The 21835-nt window shown below is 36.9% G+C and overlaps 1 protein-coding gene across 5 annotated transcripts in view; it reads left to right on the forward strand.

Annotated features, from left to right (window-relative positions):
- The window catches only part of MAGI3 (membrane associated guanylate kinase, WW and PDZ domain containing 3), a 295409-nt gene that overhangs the window by 200374 nt on the left and 73200 nt on the right, over positions 1–21835 (forward strand). For all 5 annotated transcript variants that reach the window (XM_017000974.2, NM_152900.3, XM_005270737.4 and 2 more), the window contains exon 6: positions 3593–3672. In XM_017000974.2, the coding sequence (XP_016856463.1) occupies positions 3593–3672 (80 nt within the window). The remainder of the gene's footprint in view (positions 1–3592; positions 3673–21835) is intronic.

Consider the following 21835-nt stretch of genomic DNA (forward strand, 5'->3'; position numbering starts at 1 on the left):
AGAGCAGGAGGATCAAAAACAGTTCACGAATGGTGAAAAATGTAAAGAATAAAGGGTATTTTGCTTGGCTTTTTAAAAAGCTTTTAGGTAGATTGTCCAGCTTAATGAGATTTCAAGAATTGTCATCATGAGTAGGAGCATATTATTATCCGAATTAAATATTTTCAGTCCTGGAGTTTGAGTTTGATGTGTTCAGGCAATATAGTTGAATGATGTAGGAAGAAAATATCACTGATCATCAGAGTAATTGGTACAAATTTAAGTTCACAAAAAACATTATTTTTATGGAAAAGCACTATTAATATAATATTTATAGAGATACTGATTACCATATATATTAGATCAACCTAAAATTGTATGTTGTTTGTACTAGAGAATAATATTATGCAAATAATTATTGGAAGTTTTATCATGAAGAATTTTTATATTCTCACGTAGCTGTAATTCTCATCGTAAAGTAATTTGCCCAAAGGTAGAATATTAATGTAGTAAAGTTACAGAATATAACAATTAAATAACGGTTAAAATATTTGGATCTAGGCACTACACTCAAAGAACATATACTCAGAAATGAATTTGGAGTGGGAGTCTTGAATCTGTTTCCTCAGATGGTCCCAATTCCGTACCCTTCCAAAAGAGTGAGCGTCTTGCTATACCAAATAGGATTCTAGTTTTTAAAAGACACGGATCTTTGGATGTGTAGCGTTCTTTTTACTATAGATTGCACATTATTGATGAGGTTATACATTTATATAAACATTCATCACCACAATTATACAAAGCAGGTACAACCAGGTGGTATATTCTTCTTTATTGACAACTTTAAGGGATTTGTTAAGGGAAATTTAGACTTTTGACTTTCATGCTGACTTTAGAACTAAGCCCCAAAATAAGGTGTAGAGTCATTAGAAGTAGCTAAAATATCTTTAAAAACAGATTATGAGACATTTAATCTGACAGTACTTCACCCTGCAAACAGGGCTAAGTTAGTAAATTAAAGAGGGAGAATTTATAAAAAGAAATATTTTTATAGTTTAATATATGTAAATGGATGAAAGATCTAAATGTAAGACCTGAAACTATAAAAAGGAAGAAAACATAGGGAAAAAGCTTTACAACATTGGATTTGCCAAGGGCTTTTTAGATATAACACCAAAAGCACAGGCAACAAAAGCCAAAGTAGACAAAAATGGACTACATCAAACTTAAAAATTTCTGCATAGCAAAGCAAACAATCAACAGAGTGAAAAAGCAATATATAGAATAGGAGAAAATATTTATAAACCATATATATTATAAAGGGTTAATATGTAGAATATAGTTAAATATTTGCTGCTAGATAAAGCTGTTTGGTTTGGTATAACCAGTATGGTTGATCTGTATTACTGCTGCTGTTGAAAAATGCAACTGTAAGAAAATAATGTTCATATAGGTCTATAGACTTTAGTTCTTATGTTTTGGGAATATCCCCTATGGATATTTCTTTTCATTGGAAAATTTTGGGTAAAATTTTAGCAAATTGCCTACATCTGCTGATTTAGCAATAAAATTTTGGATCATGGGAACCTAAGTTAAGCTTTTCTCAAGTGGCAGTTTTTAGTTGGGTTTAGCAAGGTATTTTCGTGTTGTTGTTGTTCTTATTGTTGTTTCCTAACAATCTATGTGGCTCCTAGGCCCCTGAGTTCTCATCCTTTGCATTTTCTAAAATTTTTTTTTAAGCAAAAAACTTTTAAGTTTGGGGAGATTATTTCTCTAATAGCATGAGTAATATAGACTTTCTAGAGATAATCTCACTTTTTTCTACAGAAATAAGCTATTATTCAGCATATTAAAAACTGTTTTGGCCAGGCACGGTGGCTCACGCCTGTAATCCCAGCACTTTGGGAGGCCGAGGCAGGCGGATTATGAGGTCAGGAGATCGAGACCATCCTGGCTAACATGGTGAAACTCTGTCTCTACTAAAAATGCAAAAACTTAGCTGGGCACGGTGGCGGGCGCCTGTAGTCCCAGCTACTCGGGAGGCTGAGGCAGGAAAATGGTGTGAACCTGAGAGGTGGAGCTTGCAGTGAGCCGAGATCGGGCCACTGCACTCCAGCCTCTGTGACAGAGTGAGACTCTGTCTCAAAAACAAACAAACAAACAAAAAAGTGTTTCTATCACATTCTACCAGCTAGTATTATACCTGGCAGTGGCTGCAGAGCTCTGCAAGTAGCTCAGCGGTTACAAAAGATATAGAAGATGTGAGTAATTCCCTGAAACCTTATTGGCTTCATTTCCTAAGAGTGGTCAAGGTACAGATTAGTGAGTTTATTTCATGTTAAACACACTCAGGAAATATAACTTGTTTACATTCATTGTTACTAATTAATAACAGTTAATTACTTCAGTTAAGTATGACATGGTATTCCAATAATAACTTTAGGCAAGAGAATCACTTGAGCCGAGGAGTTCAAGACCAGTCTAGGCAACATAGCCAGGCCTCTCTCTGCAAAAAAAATTTTTTCAGTTGTTAGGCATGGTGGCACACGCCTGTAGTCACAGCCACTTGGGAGCCTGAAGCAGGAGGATCACTTGAGCCTAGGAAGTCAAGGCTGCCGTGAGCTGTGATCATGCCACTGCACTCCAACCTGTGCAACAGAGCAAGACTCTGTCTCAAAATAATAATAATAATAATAACAATAACTTTAATTTACATTTTATTCCCTTCCTATGTATTTTCTTCCATGACTTTTTCTTTCTTTAATATCCTTGTATGTCAGATATTTAAACTAACACTGTTTGTCCACTAAGCAATGAGATAGTTTCATTTCGGCGTTAGTATCTGCTGCATGGTGACCTGGTCTGAAACTAACTGACTATGACATATAATGAAATTAAACAGATACTGCTCTCTAAAGTCATCTTTGGCCTATATCATAAAATGAAGCAGGGGCAGGATATTTTTATTCCTCCCTTTTTTCCTGTGTGGATCATGCTGATGAAAACTTAGTTTTGTAGAGCAGAGTTTAACTATACCTGTTGTTTTTACTTGCATGTGGCAGAAACAGCCACTTTAAAACTCTTTGTTTTATTTTATTCTATTTTATTTTAAAGAGTCCCTGAGGGCAGGAGCTCTATCTGATGTTTATTTATCTTTATATTCCAGCTTCCCACACAGTACCTACGTATCACAGGCACACAAGAAATATAGTACTTTTTGAAGGGAAGAAGAAAGGAGTTCAGCCAGTGAGCAAACAAGGTTTTCAGTGCAGTATTGTTGGCTAGATAATGCACAGTATGTGGCTATGCGCCCACCTTTTGAAACATTTTTAACTGCTTAAATAGTGTCTGTTATTCCATACTTGGCATTTTAGGCCTTCTTTAAAGTCTCTTGATTCTCAAGTTAGTGCCTCTAGCATTACCATTCCTTTATGGAAATTTTGAAGTAGACTGAGAACAATAGGGTTAATGAATGAATCTGAGGAATACAAATGGAGCCTGTTGGAGATTAATGTTCAAACATCATGTCTTTTAGTCACTTTTAATCTTTACTTTTGAAATAATTTTCTCCTCCTTTATTTTACTGTTTCTAATTAAAATCTTTATTCTACAGCCACAATACCAAGACAACCACCTGGTTGGATCCTCGTCTTTGTAAGAAAGCCAAAGCCCCTGAAGACTGTGAAGATGGAGGTAGAGATTCAGAAACTTACTCTATCATACTTATTCTCTTAATCCTTTCTTGCTCTTCTTGCTCAGATAATGGGTTTTTCAAAACCCTAAACAAACCATAATGTACACAAGCAAAAAAGCAGTGGGTGGATATCATAATCAACTGATTGTGGTAATTATGTCATTACATCTAACTTTATGAGAGATTTCATTTCTTTTTCAGGATTACATAACTCTCTATAAAAAATAACAACAACACTAAAATACATTTGCCCTTTTTTGACATCTGTCCTGAAGACAGACTTTTAAAATTCTAAATAAATATTTAAAAATTAGGCACATCCTCAACCATAAGCTAGGTCTATCATGTCTTATGAAGTTTTTAAAGTATATTTAATTTAGTATACATTACAGTAGATATGCAAGTATCTATAGCTATTCTTAGCCATTTACAGCAGCAGTAGAAATTCAAGGAAAGTCTTTAATATAGGCCCCCACACATATACACACTTACTTTTTACTGCTTAAAGGAAAAATTATTTCTCTAAGAATCATCAGATAATAGCACTTATCTGTCCTATATATTATAGGTTATATTTAACAGTGTAGTTTTGAGCTGGGTGTGGTGGCACAAACCTGTAGTCCTAAAGCTATATGGGGAGCTGAAATGGGAGGATTGCTTGAGCTCAAGAGTTTGAGATCACAGTGAGCTGTGGTCATGCTACTGCACTCCAGCCTGGGCAACAGAGAGAGACCCTGTCTCTAAAAACTAATAAATAAACAAATTGTTAAAAAGAGTAGAGTTTTGTAAATAAGTATAGAATTTATTCCATCCAAAATTGTTTGCTATGTCTTTACCTTAGGAGATGAATAAAATTTGCATTTTTGTATTACTAATCAGAAACTATGTATTAATTGGTTTTAAAAAATAAGTGGCGTAAAATGAGGTTCACAGTAGTCCTCCTTGTATTGAAGTCCAATCTATAAAAAGAAATTAAACAGAATTTCCACATATATTGTTCAGCATGATTATAATATAATATTAAGAGTTTTCTAGGAAGAAGCAATCAGAAAATGGAATTGTTTAAAATTCCCTCTACAATGGCATCAAAAAAGTTAGATAGCTTGAAACAAATCTTCTGAACAATGTGCAAGTTCTCAACACTAAAAACTACAAAACATAATTGAAAGACATAGGAAGACTTAAAATAATTGACAAGAGGCTGGGCATGATGGCTCATGCCTGTAATCACAGCCAAGGTGGATGGATCACTTGAACCCAGGAGTTCAAGAACAGCCTGGGCAACAGGGTGAAACCCTGTCTCTACTAAAAGTACAAAAACTCACTGGGTGTGGTAGCATGCGCCTGTAGACCCAGCTACTCAGGAGGCTGAGGTGAGAAGATCGCTTGAGTCCAGGAGGTTGAGGCTGCGGTGAACCATGATCACGCCACTGCACTCCAGCCTGGGTGACAGAGTGAGACCCTGTCTCAAAATACTAATACTAATACTAATACTAATAATAATTGACAAGATATATTCTGTTCATTAGCCAAAGAACCTTAAAAAAAAAAAGACAAAGTTGGAAGACATAGGGTACCAGATCTGAAGACTTATTTTAGAGCTACAGTGATAAAGACAGTTTGGTATTGGCATAAGGATAGATAAATAGATCAGTGGAACAAAATAGAGAGTCTAGAAATCAATACACATGTATGTAGTCACTTTATTTTCAACCAAAGTGCCAACTGATATGGAAAAATGAACCTCAATTATGCCTCACTTCATACAAACAGTTAATTTCAGATGAATCAAAGACCTAAGCATAAAAGCTAGAACCACAAAGCTTTTGGAAGAAAATATAGGAGAGTGTCTTCATGAGTCAGAATTGGCAAAGATTTCTTAAACAGGCCACAAAAAATATGAACCATAGAAGAAAAAGTTAATATTTTGCATGTAATAGAAATTTTAAAATTCTCTTCATCAGAAGACACCATTGAAAAATGAATAGACAAAGTCACAGACTTTGCAATATATATTTGCCAAAGGAATTAAATTCAGAATCTATAAGAACTGTTTACAACTCAATAATATTGCCAAATTTTAAAATGGGCAAAATATGTTAATAAACATTTCACCAAAGAAAATATACAAACAGCCCATAAAAACATGAAAAGATATTTAAAATTATTAATCATTAGGTGTTTTGCAAATTAAAACCACTGTGATCTACTACTTTACACCCACTAGAATGAGTATAACAAAAAAAAAAACAGATGGTAACTAATCTTGGGGAGGATAGGGAGAAACAGTAACCCTTGTACATTGCTGTGCCATTGGAAAATGGTATAGCCACTTTGGAGAACAGTTTGGCAGTTTCTTAAAAGGTTAAATATAAATTTACCATATGACCTAGTAAATTTTCTCCTAGGTATCTACCCAAGAGGAATGAAAACAAAAGTCCTCATAAAGACTTGCATGCAAATATTCATAGCAGCACTATTCATAATAGCCAAAAAGTGGAAACCACCCAACTGTCCATTAACCAATGAGCAGATAAATCAAATGTGCTATAACCTACAATGGAATACTATTGAGCAATAAAAAGGAACAAAATACTATACATGCTATATGTATGAATCTCAAAAACATGCTAAGTGAAAGAAATTAGACATAATAGGCCAGATATTGTATGGTTCTATTTGTATGAAATGTCCAGAATAGGCAAATCTGTGGAAACAGAAAATAGGTTACTGGTTGCCTTGGGCTAAGGATAAGAATAGAGATTAACTGTTAACAGCATGAGGAATCTTCTTGGAGTTATGAAGACGTTTTAAAACTGGATTGTGGTGATGGTTGTACAATTCAGTAAATTATTAAAAATTATTGAACTGTATACTTAAAACAGATGAATTGTATATATGTAAATTATACCTCAATAAAGTTGTTTTTAAAATGGCCAAAGGACTTATGCACTTCACAAAAGAAGATAAAAGAAGAGTCAAGAAGAACATGAAGAGGTGCTTATCATTAGTTATCACTACAATGAGATACCATCAACACCCACTACAAGGGCTAGAGATACCATCTACATCCTTTAGAAGGACTAAAGTACACTGACGCTCAGCAGAAACCTTACATGCCAGAAGGGATTGGAGTTCTATCTTTAACCACCTTAAACAGAATAAGTGTCAGCCAAGAATTTTGTATCCAGCAATACTAAGTTTCATAAATGAAGAAGAAATAAAGTATTTTTCAGACAAGTAAATGTTGAAGGAATTTGACATTACCAGATCAGCCCTACAAGATATGGTAAAAGGAGTTCTAAATCTTCAAACAAAAAGTTGATATGCACCAGAATAGAACCTCTTGAAAGCATGCAACTTACAGGACTGCCAGGCACGGTGGCTCACACCTGTAATCCCAGCACTTTGGGAGGCTGTGGTGGGCGGATAATGAGGTCAGGAGTTCAAGACCAGTCTGACCAACATGGTGAAACCCCATCTCTACTAAAAATACAAAAATTAGCCAGACATGGTGGTGGGCACCTGTAATCCCAGCTACTCAGGAGGCTGAGGCAGGAGAATTGCTTAAACCCAGGAGGTGGAGGTTGCAGTTAGCCAAGATTGCACCACTGTACTCCAGCCTGGGCAACAGAGCGAGACTCTGCCTGCCATCCCCCCACCCCCCCTCCAAAAAAAAACTCACAGGACCTATAAAGCAATAGCACAGTAAAGAAAACAAAGTACTAGGTAACAATCAACATGATGACTGGAATAGTACCTTATATCTCAATATTAATGTTGAATGTAAATGGTCTAAGTGCTCACTTGAAAGAAGAAGATTGGCAGAATGGATAAAAATTCACAAACCAAATATCTGCTGTCTTCAAGAGATTCATCTAACACATAAGGATTCCTATAGACTCAACGTAAAAGAGTGGAAAAAGATATTTCACACAAATGGAAACTCAAAGTGAGCAGGAGTAGCTATTGTTATGTCAGAGAAAACAGATTTTAAAGCAACAACAGTTAAAAAAAAAGACAAAGAAGGTCATTATACAATGATAAAATGATCAACAAGAAGATATTGCAATACTAAATATATATACCCCTAACTCTAGAGCCCCCAGATTCATGAAACAATTACTATTAGACCTAAGAAAGGAGATATCAACACAATAATAGTAGGGGACTTCAACACTCCACTGACAGCACTAGATAGATCATTGGAGCAGAAAATCAGCAAACACTGGACTTAAACTACACTCTAGAACAAATAAACCTGACAGATATTTACAGAACAATTCTAACCAAGAACTGCAGAATATACATTCTTCTCATCAGCACATGGAACCTTCTGCAAAGTAGACCATATGATAGGCCACAAAACAAGTCTCAATAAATTTTTAAAACTCAAAATCTTTTGTGGGCATTTAGTGCTATAAATTTCCCTCTGCACACTGCTTTGAATGTGTCCCAGAGATTCTGGTATGTTGTCTTTGTTCTCGTTGGTTTCAAAGAACATCTTTATTTCTGCCTTCATTTCGTTATGTACCCATGCCCACAAGAGAAAGCAGGAAAGAGCCAAAATTGACATCCTAACATCACAATTGAAAGAACTAGAAAAGCAAGAGCAAACACATTCAAAAGCTAGCAGAAGGCAAGAAATAACTAAATTCAGAGCAGAACTGAAGGAAATAGAGACACAAAAAACCCTTCAAAAAATTAATGAATCCAGGAGCTGGTTTTTTGAAAGGATCAACAAAATTGATCGACCACTAGCAAGACTAATAAAGAAGAAAAGAGAGAAGAATCAAATAGATGCAATAAAAAATGATAAAAGGGGATATCACCACCGATCCCACAGAAATAAAAACTACTATCAGAGAATACTACGAACACCTCTACGCAAATAAACTAGAAAATCTAGAAGAAATGGATAAATTCCTCGACACATACACCCTCCCAAGACTAAACCAGGAAGAAGTTGAATCTCTGAGTAGACCAATAACAGGCTCTGAAATTGTGGCAATAATCAATAGCTTACCAACCAAAAAGAGTCCAGGACCAGATGGATTCACAGCCGAATTCTACCAGAGGTACAAGGAGGAACTGGTACCATTCCTTCTGAAACTATTCCAATCAATAGAAAAAGAGGGAATCCTCCCTAACTCATTTTATGAGGCCAGCATCATCCTGATACCAAAGCTGGGCAGAGACACAACCAAAAAAGAGAATTTTAGACCAATATCCTTGATGAACATTGATGCAAAAATCCTCAATAAAATACTGGCAAACTGAATCCAGCAGCACATCAAAAAGCTTATCCACCGTGATCAAGTGGGCTTCATCCCTGGGATGCAAGGCTGGTTCAATATACGCAAATCAATGAATGTAATCCAGCATATAAACAGAACCAAAGACAAAAACCACATGGTTATCTCAATAGATGCAGAAAAGGCCTTTGAAAAAATTCAACAGCCCTTCATGCTAAAAACTCTCAATAAATTAGGTATTGATGGGACATATCTCAAAATAATAAGAGCTATCTATGACAAACCCACAACCAATATCATACTGAATGGGCAAAAACTGGAAGCATTCCCTTTGAAAACTGGCACAAGACAGGGGTGCCCTCTCTCACCACTCCTATTCAACATAGTGTTGGAAGTTCTGGCCAGGGCAATTAGGCAGGAGAAGGAAATAAACGGTATTCAATTAGGAAAAGAGGAAGTCAAATTGTCCCTGTTTGCAGATGACATGATAGTATATCTAGAAAACCCCATTGTCTCAGCCCAAAATCTCCTTAAGCTGATAAGCAACTTCAGCAAAGTCTCAGGATACAAAATCAATGTACAAAAATCACAAGCATTCTTATACACCAATAACAGACAAACAGAGAGCCAAATCATGAGTGAACTCCCATTCACAATTGCTTCAAAGAGAATAAAATACCTAGGAATCCAACTTACAAGGGACATGAAGGACCTCTTCAAGGAGAACTACAAACCACTGCTCAATGAAATAAAAGAGGATACAAGAAATGGAAGAACATTCCATGCTCATGGGTAGGAAGAATCAATATCGTGAAAATGGCCGTATTGCCCAAGGTAATTTATAGATTCAATGCCATCCCCATCAAGCTACCAATGACTTTCTTCACAGAATTGGAAAAAACTACTTTAAAGTTCATATGGAACCAAAAAAGAGTCCGCATTGCCAAGTCAATCCTAAGCCAAAAGAACAAAGCTGGAGGCATCACACTACCTGACTTCAACCTACTACAAGGCTACAGTAACCAAAACAGCATGGTACTGGTACCAAAACAGAGATATAGATCAATGGGACAGAACAGAGCCCTCAGAAATAGCGCCGCCTATCTACAACTATCTGATCTTTGACAAACCTGAGAAAAACAAGCAATGGGGAAAGGATTCCCTATGTAATAAATGGTGCTGGGAAAACTGGCTAGCCATATGTAGAAAGCTGAAACTGGATCCCTTCCTTACACCTTATACAAAAATTAATTCAAGATGGATTAAAGACTTAAATGTTAGACCTAAAACCATAAAAACCCTAGAAGAAAACCTAGGCAATACCATTCAGGACATAGGCATGGGCAAGGACTTCATGTCTAAAACACCAAAAGCAATGAGCAATAAAAGCCAAAATTGACAAATGGGATCTAATTAAACTAAAGAGCTTCTGCACAGCAAAAGAAACTACCATCAGAGTGAACAGGCAGCCTACAAAACAGGAGAAAATTTTTGCAATCTACTCATCTGACAAATGGCTAATATCCACAATCTACAATGAACTCCAACAAATTTACAAGAAAAAAACAAACAACCCCATCAAAAAGTGGGCAAAGGACATGAACAGACACTTCTCAAAAGAAGACATTTATGCAGCCAAAAAACACATGAAAAAATGCTCACCATCACTGGCCATCAGAGAAATGCAAATCAAAACCACAATGAGATACCATCTCACACCAGTTAGAATGGCAATCATTAAAAAGTCAGGAAACAACAGGTGCTGGAGAGGATGTGGAGAAATAGGACCACTGTTACACCGTTGGTGGGACTGTAAACTAGTTCAACCCTTGTGGAAGTCAGTGTGGCGATTCCTCAGGGATCTAGAACTAGAAATACCATTTGACCCAGCCATCCCATTACTGGGTATATACCCAAAGGACTATAAATCATGCTGCTATAAAGACACATGCACAAGTATGTTTATTGTGGCACTATTCACAATAGCAAAGACTTGGAACCAACCCAAATGTCCAACAACGATAGACTGGATTAAGAAAATGTGGCACATATACACCGTGGAATACTATGCAGCCATAAAAAATGATGAGTTCATGTCCTTTGTAGGGACATGGATGAAATTGGAAATCATCATTCTCAGTAAACTATCGCAAGAACAAAAAACCAAACACCGTATATTCTCACTCATAGGTTGGAACTGAACAATGAGAACACATGGACACAGGAAGGGGAACATCACACTCTGGGGACTGCTGTGGGGTGGGGGGAGTGGGAAGGGATAGCATTAGGAGATATACCTAATGCTAAATGACGAGTTAATGGGTGCAGCACACCAGCATGTCACATGTATACATATGTAACTAACCTGCACATTGTGCACATGTACCCTAAAACTTAAAGTATAATAATAATAAAATTATAAAAAAAACTCAAAATCATATGAGGTATCTTCTCAGACCACAGTGGAATAAAACTAGAAATCAACTCCTAAAGGAACCCTAAAAACTATACAAATGCATGGAAATTAAACAGTCTGCTCCTAAGTGATTTTTGGGTTAAGAACAAAATCAAGATGGAAGTGTTAAAATTATTTGAAATGAATGATAATAGTGACATAAGTTATCAAAACCTGAGATACAGCAAAGCAGTGCTGAGAAGAAAGTTTATAGCACTAAATTGCTACATCAAAAAGTCTGAAAGATCACAAATTGACAACGTAATGTCACACCTCAAGGAACTAGAGAAACAAGAACAAACCCAAAGTTAGTGGAATAAAAGAAATAACAGAAGATCGGAGCAGAATTAAATGAAATTAAAACAAACAAAAACAGTAGGCCAGATACTGTGGCTCATGCCTATAAGCCCAGCACTTTAGGCGGCCAAGGCAGGCAGATTGCTTGGTAATTTGAGACCAGCCTAAGCAACATGGTGAAACCCTATTTCTACAAAAAATACACAAATTAACCAGGTATGGTGGTGCCCACCTGTGGTCCCAGCTGCTCCAGAGGCTGAGGTGGGAGGATTACTTGAGCCTGGAGGAGGCAGAGGTTGCAGTTAGACGAGACTGTCCCACTGCACTCCAGTCTGCGAAACAGAACGAGATTGTCTCAAAAAATAAAAAAAATCAAAGTGTGTGTATGTGTATGTATACACATATATATATATGTGTATACATACACAGAAGATCAAAGAGACAAAAAGCTGGTTATTTGAAAAAGATATACAAAATTTATAGACCATTAGCTAGATTAACCAAGAAGAGAAAAAATTCAAATAAGCCCAATTCGAAATGAAAATGAAAATGAAATGGAAATGAAAATGAAAATGGAGACATTACAACAAACACCACGGAAATACAAAAGATAATTTGAGGCTACTATGAATAAGTGAAATTGAAACTGTGCACACAAAGTAGAAAATCTAGAGGACTGGATAAATTCATGGAAACATACAACCCTCCTAGCTTAAATCAGGAATAAATAGAAATCCTGAACCAATAACTAGCAGTGAGATTGAATCAGTAATTTAAAAATTGCCAACAACAACAACAACAACAACAACAAAAAGCCTGAGGCCAAATGGATTTACAGCCAAATTCTACCAGACATTCAAAGAATAATTGGTATCAATCCTACTGAAACTATTCCAAAAGATTGAGAAAGAGGGAATCTTCTCTAACTCTTTCTATGAAGCCAGTATCACCCTGATACCAAAACCGGGAAAGGACCTAACAAAAAAATAAAACTATAGACCAGTATCCCTGATGAAAATAGAAAGACCCCAAAAGCAAATGCAACAAAAACAAAAATAAATGCGACCTAATTAAACAAAAAAGCTTCTACACAGCAAAAGAAATAATCATAAGAGTAAACTGACAACCTTCAGAATGGGAGAACATATTTGCAAATTATGCATCCGACAAAGGACCAATATCCAGAATCTACAAGGAACTCAAACAAGTCAGAAAAATAAATAAATAAAACCCACCAAATAATGCCACCAAAAGGTAAAAAGTGGACAAATTACATGAATTGGCATATCTCAAAAGAAGATACACAAATGGCCAACAAACATATGAAAAAAAATGCTCATCATCAGGGATGCGTAAATTAAAACCACAATGAGATACCACCTTATTCCAGCCAGAGTAATAAGTCAAAAAGCAATAGATGTTGGCATGGGTGCAGTGAAAAGAGAACACTTATACACTGCTGGTTGGAATGTAAATTAGTACAGCCTCTATGGAAAACAGTATGGAGCATTCTTAAAGAACTAAAATTAGATCTACCATTTGATCCAGGAATCCCACTCCTGGGCACCTATCCAAAGAAAAAGAAGTCATTATATCAAAAAGACACCTGCTTATGTATGTCTATCATAGCATAATTCATAATTGCAAACATGTGGAACCAACTTAGGAACCAACCTAAGTACCCATCAAATGATGAGTGGATAAATAAAATGTGGTATTGCCAGGTGCATTGGCTCATGCCTGTAATCCCAACACTTTGGGAGGCTGAGGCGGGCAGATCACAAGGTCAAGAGATCAAGACCATCCTGGCCAATATGGTGAAACCCCATCTCTACTAAAAATACAAAAATTAGCCAGGCATGGTGGCATGCACCTGTAATCCCACCTACTCGGGAGGCTGAGGCAGGAGAATCGCTTGAATCCAGGAGGCGGAGGTTGTGGTGAGCTGAGATCATGCCACTGCACTCCAGCCTGGCGACAGAGTGAGTCTCCATCTCAAAAAAAAAAAAAAAAAAAAAAAAAAAAAAGAGAAGAAAGAAAATGTGGTATATATATACCATGGAATACTACCCAGCCATGAAAAAGAATGAAATAATGTCTTTTGCAGCAACTTGGATGGAGCTGGAGGTCATTATTCTAAGTGACTCAGGAATGGAGAACCAAATACTCTATGTTCTCACTTATAAGTGGGAGCTAAGCTATGGGTACACAAAGACAAACAAAGTCGTATAATAGACATTGAAGATTCAGAAGGGAGGAGGGTCGGATGGGGGAAGGGATAAAAACTACATATTGGGTATAATGTACACTACTTGGGTGATGGGTGCACTAAAATCTCAGATTTCACCACTATACAGTTCATCCATGTAACCAAAAACCACTTATACCCTGATATAAATATACATATATAATATATAATATATGTAATATTATTTTTAGATATAGTAAAATAAAATATACTGACAATACCAAAGATTAATGAGATTTTAGAGCAACTAGCATTTTCATTTATTGTGAGTGGGGACACAAAATTACCTGAACATTTTTTAGAACTTTTCACAGTTTCCTATGAGGTAATATCTAAAGAGAAATGAAAACATATGTTCCCCAAAAGACTTAACTAGAATGATTATGACAGCCTTTCTCTTAATAGCTCAAACCTGGAAACATCCCAGATATCTATCAAGAAGAGAATGGATAAACCATTTGTGGTATATTCATGCAATAAAATACTACTCATGAGTAAAAAGAAAAAAGTGTTGATAACACTCAATAATATGGATGAGTCTCAGAAACATGTTGTAAAAGAAACCAGACACCAAAGAGTAGGTTCTCAATTACTCATTATTTAAAGCTTGAGAACAGGCAAAACTCATGTGTGGTAATAGAAATCAGAAAATGACTGGGGAGAGTAGAAGTGGGGTAAAGTGAGATAATTCCCTGGAATGCTATATTCTCCATCTCAATTGAGGTGACAGTTACACAGGCATATCCAGTTGCCAAAACCCACTTTTTATAATTGAACAAGCACTCGATTTTTTTTTTCCCCGAGACGGAGTCATGCTCTGTCGAACAGGCTGGAGTGCAGTGGCGCAATCTTGGATCACTGCAACCTCTGCCTCCTGGGTTCAAGCGATTCTTCTGCCTCAACCTCCCAAGTAGCTGGGACTACTGGCACATGCCACCACGCCCAGCTAATTTTTGTATTTCTAGTAGAGACGGGGTTTCACCGTATTGGCGAGGCTGGTCTCGAACTCCTGACCTCGTGATCCGCCTGCCTCGGCCTCCCAAAGTGCTAAGATTACAGGTGTGAGCCACTGCACCCAGCCAGATTTTTTTTTTACCATTAAAAGGGCACTTAAGAGTTGTGCATTTTATTGTTTGTAAATTATACCTCAATTATTATTCTTTTTTTGAGACAGAGTCTCTCTCTGTCACCCAGGTTGGAGTGCAGTGGCGCAATCTCTGCTCACTGCAGCCTCCTCCTCCTGGGTCCAAGTGATTCTCGTGCCTCAGCCTCCCCAGTAGCTAGGACTACAGGCTCATGCCACCATGGCTGGCTAATTTTTGTATTTTTTGGTAGAGATGGGGTTTCATCATGTTGGCCAGGCTGGTCTGAAACTCCTGACCTCAAGTGATCCACCCACCTCAGGCTCCCAAAGTGCTGGGATTACAAGTGTGAGCCACCATGCCCAGCCCAAGAAATAATTTTTAAAATAATTTTTATACCGTAGTTGTTTATAAAGCTTTCCATAGTAAGTTCCTTCTTATGGTGAAATCAGCCATTCTAAAGGCAAACTAGAATATATAATACTATAGAATTTGACTTTTTTTATTGTGAACATGGTATTTGTCTTCTAGAGCATGTCCCTTTTACTGGCTTCCATTCTTTTTCCTGGTCCCTAATTGTTTCAGTTCAGTTTTCTGCCTTTTCTTGTTTTCTTTTGTAGAAAGCATTTATTCTCATAGCTTTATCAGTTTACTATAGCCTGCCCCATTATCAAAATCTCTAGTATTGTCCTTTGTTCTGAATTATATTTCTGTTTCCTCTTGCTTTTGAGTCTTGGTTTTGATTTCCCTACTAATACTTCAAATAAGCTTATTTAAAACTAAATTGACATCTTTCTCCTAATACAACCCGTCCCTCTTTCTGTCATATACGTACCATTCTCATAATCATCTATGCCAAAATCTTTGCAATTATGTTTGCCTGTTCCTCTCTTCTTGCTCTACTTCCTGATTTAGTTTTCACGTCCTGTTGCTTTTTCTTTTTTCTCTTTTTGCCAATATATTATTATGCAAAAGTTTCAACATATAGGAAAATGAAAAGAATCATACAGTGAACATACATATGCCCACCACTAGGATATTACAATTAACATTTTGCTACATTTGCTTCTTCACATGATTATTCATTTATTCTTTCTCTATCTGTGATTTTTCTTTTATATTATATATTCCTTTCCATTCTCCTAATCACTACACACTTGGATTATTCTTGGTCTTTCTTCCTCCAGTTATTTCTCTCTCTTTAATACATCTTTTATGCCAGTGGTTTTCAAAATGATCATACTCAAACTATCTACTGGTACCCAGTAGAAAATATTAGAACTAATTTTTCATAATGTTGTTACTGAAAGAAAAAGAAACAAACTAAGCTTCACTACTATTTTACATACAGATTGGTAATGGCATTCTTACTGATTCCGTATGTCGGATTATCACATACTCTAACCAGAGTGCCTTGAGGGAGGAATGGATGAGACACCTTTGCTCTTTTTTCAAGGACACTGTGAAATTTTACAGTTGATTTGTGCCCAGTTAAGTGGATTTATAGACTAGTTATATAGTTTTTAAACTAACCTCACATAAAATGGAAATGTCACTTTAAAAGATTTCTACAAAAACACTACTGATTGAAGATGATACAAATAGGCAAACCCAGACTAATAGCAAGAAAATGGAAGAACCGATACTGTTTGTGTATCATATATGACCATATATAAGCTTTTTTCAACTTCAAGGTAAAATCATGATAATTGCTTGTTTAATCACCTCCTTTAAAAACATCTATTTTTGTATATGTTTTATTATATACATATTAGAAGAGGGGCAGATGTCAGATTTTTTACTAAAAAGGCTACATGATCAAAAAACCTTGGAGATATTATGTAAGACCAAATTAATCTTTCTAAAACTAATTTTCTATCTATCTCTCCCTTGCTGTCCATTGTCAGCAGAGTAAAGTCCAGACTCCTTGGTTAAGTATTAAAGATTTTTTATAATTGAATCATATTCTATATTTATTTTTCAAAGTATTCTCATGTCATAAATCTGACATATTTTTCGTCTTTGCCATATACCCATTTCTTCTGCCAGGAATCAGTCTTGTTTCCTGTGTCTACCTGGCTCATACCTATTATCCTTCGAAGCTCCAATCTAAAGTATAATTTCTTTGTAGCCCCTTCTGTCATTTTCTTGCAAGTCAGAAGTAGACGTCCTCTCCTCTGTGCTCAGTAGTACCATATGACATGTCTCTCTTGTAGCAGTTATATTGCATTGTAACTAGATACCACACTCAGAGCAATGATTTTTGACACATTCATCTGTATATCCTTTCAGTAGAGACTTCAATGTTTGAAAAGAGGGAAAGAGGGAAGAGAGGGAGGGAGGGAAGAAGGGAAAAGGAAGAGAAAGGGAAAAAAAGAAAGAAGCTACTCTATCCTCCAGATTATTTTGGTCGCCCTTTTGGAAATACTTTTCAATCTCTATAAGGCTCTGAGGGGCCAATAAATAATAAGCCCGTCTTCATTCACCAGTTTATAGTCAATAGAGAAATAAGACACCAGAGACAGACAGATGAAGTCAGAATGTCAGCAAATGAATGTTAGCCCTGCATGTACATGGCCTTGCTGTTATTTTACCCCTGCAGGAGGGAGACATGAGTACTTAGTCTTTGGCCTCTGTGTTCAACTGCAAGCCTCCTCCCAACGGGCAGACATGGCAGAGAACAGACCAGAATACGCCTCTGCAGGCAGGCTGTTAACCAAAACAGTGAGAGAACTCAAGAGTCCCTGAGCCAAGCATATTGAGTTCATTGTGTAAAACTCCCCAGTCAGATAAGACATTCTTTCTTCCTTGGGGAAGAAAGTGAAGGGGCTCCGAGAAACTGGAAATGTTCCTCCCATTCTTTATTCTCTAAGGAATTTGAAGAATTGGATGAACATTTCCCCCTAATGCTCTTTACATTAAGGCTGAACATATGTCTTGGTTGGCCCAGGACTGATCCAGCTTTTTCCTGTTGCCCCAACATAATTATTAATAGTATCCCCTTTTATTCTCAAAAGTGGACAGTACATTTTATGATCATCCTAAGTATATTTTTCTTAAAATAGAATGATCAAAATTGCATTCAGTATTCTGGGAATGTTTGAAACTCTTTAATATGGGCTACTCTCCCACTTACAAAACTGGGTACACCTTTTTAACATTGCCTATACTTATCTTCGGGGGAGCCTACAATTTAGAACATTGAGTCTATTTGTTTTATGCTCAGCCAGCCTTTTCCACTTTCCTCTCTACACTTTGTCTCCCCACGTAATAGCCCCACGGAAGACTATTTTCAGGATGAACTATGTGTGATTCATATTAGTATTCTCTGCAGTGCTTTGCACAGAGTAGATGCTGAAAAGAGAAGAATAATATTTTAAGTGTAGGTTTTATAGGTTAAGATATTGTTTACATTCTGCTGAACATTTAAGATCTTCTAGAAAGACCTTACAGTTTCTAAAACATGCCCTTTTCTTCCCAGTCTTCTGATATTCTGAACACAGCTGTGTATTCAAATACAGTGTAAGGACACAGCTTGAACAGCTTGGTTTAATTGATGTACATTTTATCTTCTATTCAAATAAAATAGTGTTTTGGTTAGGTAGTTGTCTTGAAAATACAACATTAGGAATTCGTTTTACCCTCAACCCATCCCATTTCTCTTATGATGAAAGAAAGATTAAATTTTTGCTAAAGGCAGCTTACAAATATATTGAATGTTGATATTTCAGAGCTTAGAGAATGATTAAAAAAATTATCAACTGAATAGAGCTCCACCATGAGAAAATAATTGTAATTCTTACATTTAAACAAGAAAAATCCTATTTGGGGAAGAGGAAAGAAAGATAAATTCATGGGATTTAGAACCAACCAGCTGCTTGATATGCCCAAAATAGTTTTGTCTTTTGAAATAGCTTTTTAGGGGAATACTTTGGCTTCATACACAGGAAAAGATGGTTAGGTTAGGTCTTTCCTGTATCAAAAATAAACAAACAAATTTTCTCTTGGCCCTAACCCTCCCCATAGTTTTTATACTATCTTTTCCACAAGCAAATTTTTGTTTTAAGTCATCTATTCTTAAGGACTCTACTTCGTATTTTTCTCTTCAGTTACTACAGTATTCTGACTTTTGCCTCCTACCTTTTCAGGGTTACCAGTAACCTCCTGATCTTATAGACTCTTTTTAGCCCTTATCTTTATGCCTAACAGCTTTACAAAGCGTTTTTTTGTTTGTTTGTTTGTTTGTTTGTTTTGAGACAGAGTCTTGCACTGTTGCCCAGGCTAGAGTGCAGTGGCGCGATCTCGGCTCACTGCAAGCTCCGCCTCCTGGGTTCATGCCATTCTCCTGCCTCAGCCTCCCCAACAAAGCGTTTTTTAATGCTGACCATGCCCTTCCTCTTCTGTCTTCTTTTACACCATTCCCCCTGATGATTCTTACTTTCTCCATCTGCCGCTTAAAATGTTAGTGCTCCTAAGGTTCTGTTCTTCACCTTTCTCTGCTCAGTTTATCTAGGTAATCATGTCTGCTGTCATAGCTTTAACTACAATGTCTCTCAAATCTTTATCTTCTTATATTTCTCTTTGGAGTACCGGGTTCATACGGCCAAGAGCTTGTTATTTATCTGTACCAGGATGTTCTACAGATCACTCAAATGTAACACCTTCCCTTCCTGCCTTCAACAGATATGACATCCCCCCAGCTGCTTGAGCCAAAAACTGGTTGTCATCCTCGCCTTTCCCTCACTGTCTCCTCTCTGTTGCAGTTAACTACCAAGTTCTATCAATTCTAACTTTTAAAAACCTGCCATTCGGGTGGATCACGAGGTCAGGAGACCAAGACCATCCTGGCCAACATGGTAAAACCCTGTCTACTAAAATACAAAAAATTAGCTGGGCATGGTGGCACGCACCTTTAGTTCTAGCTACCCGGGAGACTGAGGCAGGGGAATCACTTGAACTGGGGAGGCGGAGGTTGCAGTGAGCTGAGATCATGCCATTGCACTCTAGCCTGGCGACAGAGGAAGACTCCATCTCAAAAAAAAATAAAAAATAAAAACCTGCCATTTCTTGAGTGTCCATTGGTGGTAGACACATTACTAGGCACTTTTAATATATCATCTGTCTCCTAAATTCCTCTAAATCCACATTAATTTCTAATTTCTATTCCCACAGCCATTTTCATAATTATTCTTTTTTTTTTTTTTTTGAGACAGACTCTCACACTGTTGCCCAGGCTGGAGTGCAGTGATGAGATCTCAGCTCACTGCAACCTCCACTTCCTAGGTTCGAGCAATTCTCCTGCCTCAGCCTCCTGAGTAGCTGAGATTACAGGAACCTACCACCACGCCCAGCTAATTTTTGTATTTTTAGTAGAGATAGGGGTTTCACCATGTTGCTCAGGCTGGTCTTGAACTCCTGACCTCAAATGATCTGCCCACATTGGCCTCCCAAAGTGCTGGGATTACAGGCGTGAGTCACCGTGCCGGCCCATTTTCATAATTATTCAATAAATATTTGATAATGTATCACTTTTATGCCACAAAAGCTAGAAACCTGGGAATCATCTTTGCCTCTTTCCTCCCTTCCCTTCCTCAATCCTCATGGTAGTCATTAAGTTCTGTTACTTTACCTTCTTTGTTTTATTATCCATTCTACTACCCCTGCCTTAGTTCCAGTCTTCACAAGTTCTTATGCAGTCTATTAGTGTTTATCTTATTTGTCTGCCTTTATTCTCATTGCACACCATCTATTTCGTCCTTTATTACTGCTTCCCATAATCTTTTTCAAATATAAATTAAATCATGTCACAGTTCACCTTAATCAATTCTCTATCATCGTCAAAATAAAGATCAAACTTCTCAACACAGCACTCTAAGAATGTTGGAATTTTGTGCTTGTTCATAAAATTCATTTCCCTTTGCATACAACTTTCATTCTAGTTTACCAAATTATTTGTAATTATGGAAAATACCAAGCATTCTTAATACCTCAATGCCCTTTAATCTATCTGGAATCATCTCCCTCTCCCTAATCCCAACTTATTTATTTATTTATTTATTTATTTATTTATTTGACTCGGTCTATCACCAGGCTGGAATGCAGTGGCACGATCTTGGCTCATTGCAACCTCCACCTCCTGGGTTCAAGTGATTCTCCTGCCTCAGCCTCCTGAGTAGCTGGGACTACAGGCGTGCACCACCACACCCAGATAATTTTTGTATTTTTAGTAGAGACGGGGTTTCACAATGTTGGCCAGGATGGTCTCGATCTCTTGACCTCATGATCCGCCCGCCTTGGCCTCCCAAAGTGCTGGAATTACAGGCGTGAGCCAACTTATCTTTAAAGACTGCTTAAACATCAGCTTTTAGCAGGCTTTCCTGATAGCAATCTTACCAGGCAATTGGTATTCCTCTGCACTCCCCAAAAAAGATTATGTTTATCTTTATCTTATCATTTATCTCTTCTGTCTTCCTGTCTAGACTATAAACTCCTTGAAGTCAAGAACTGGGTTATATTTCTAATTTTTATTTCTGCATAAGGATGATGGGGAGAGGAGGATGAGAAGGGAGGAAGGAAAAAAGAATAAAATGAATAAATGAATTGATCCACTAAATAGTGTATAAAGTTGCTAGGTATTTTAGTCTTGATTTTTATTACCTTCACTTTAAATGAGCAAATAATAACCACTTCTTTATCTGTATTAAATTGCCCTGTGTGAAAACAAAACAAAACCAAACAAAAAAAACTTGCTAATGGTATCAGTGGTAAAGGTGTAAAATTAATAAAGTAACCCAGAAGATAAATGGCTGCATTTGTTTGCCCTCC

This window comes from Homo sapiens, chromosome 1 (assembly GCF_000001405.40).
Source record: "Homo sapiens chromosome 1, GRCh38.p14 Primary Assembly".
In the NCBI taxonomy this organism is placed as follows: Eukaryota; Metazoa; Chordata; class Mammalia; order Primates; family Hominidae; genus Homo; species Homo sapiens.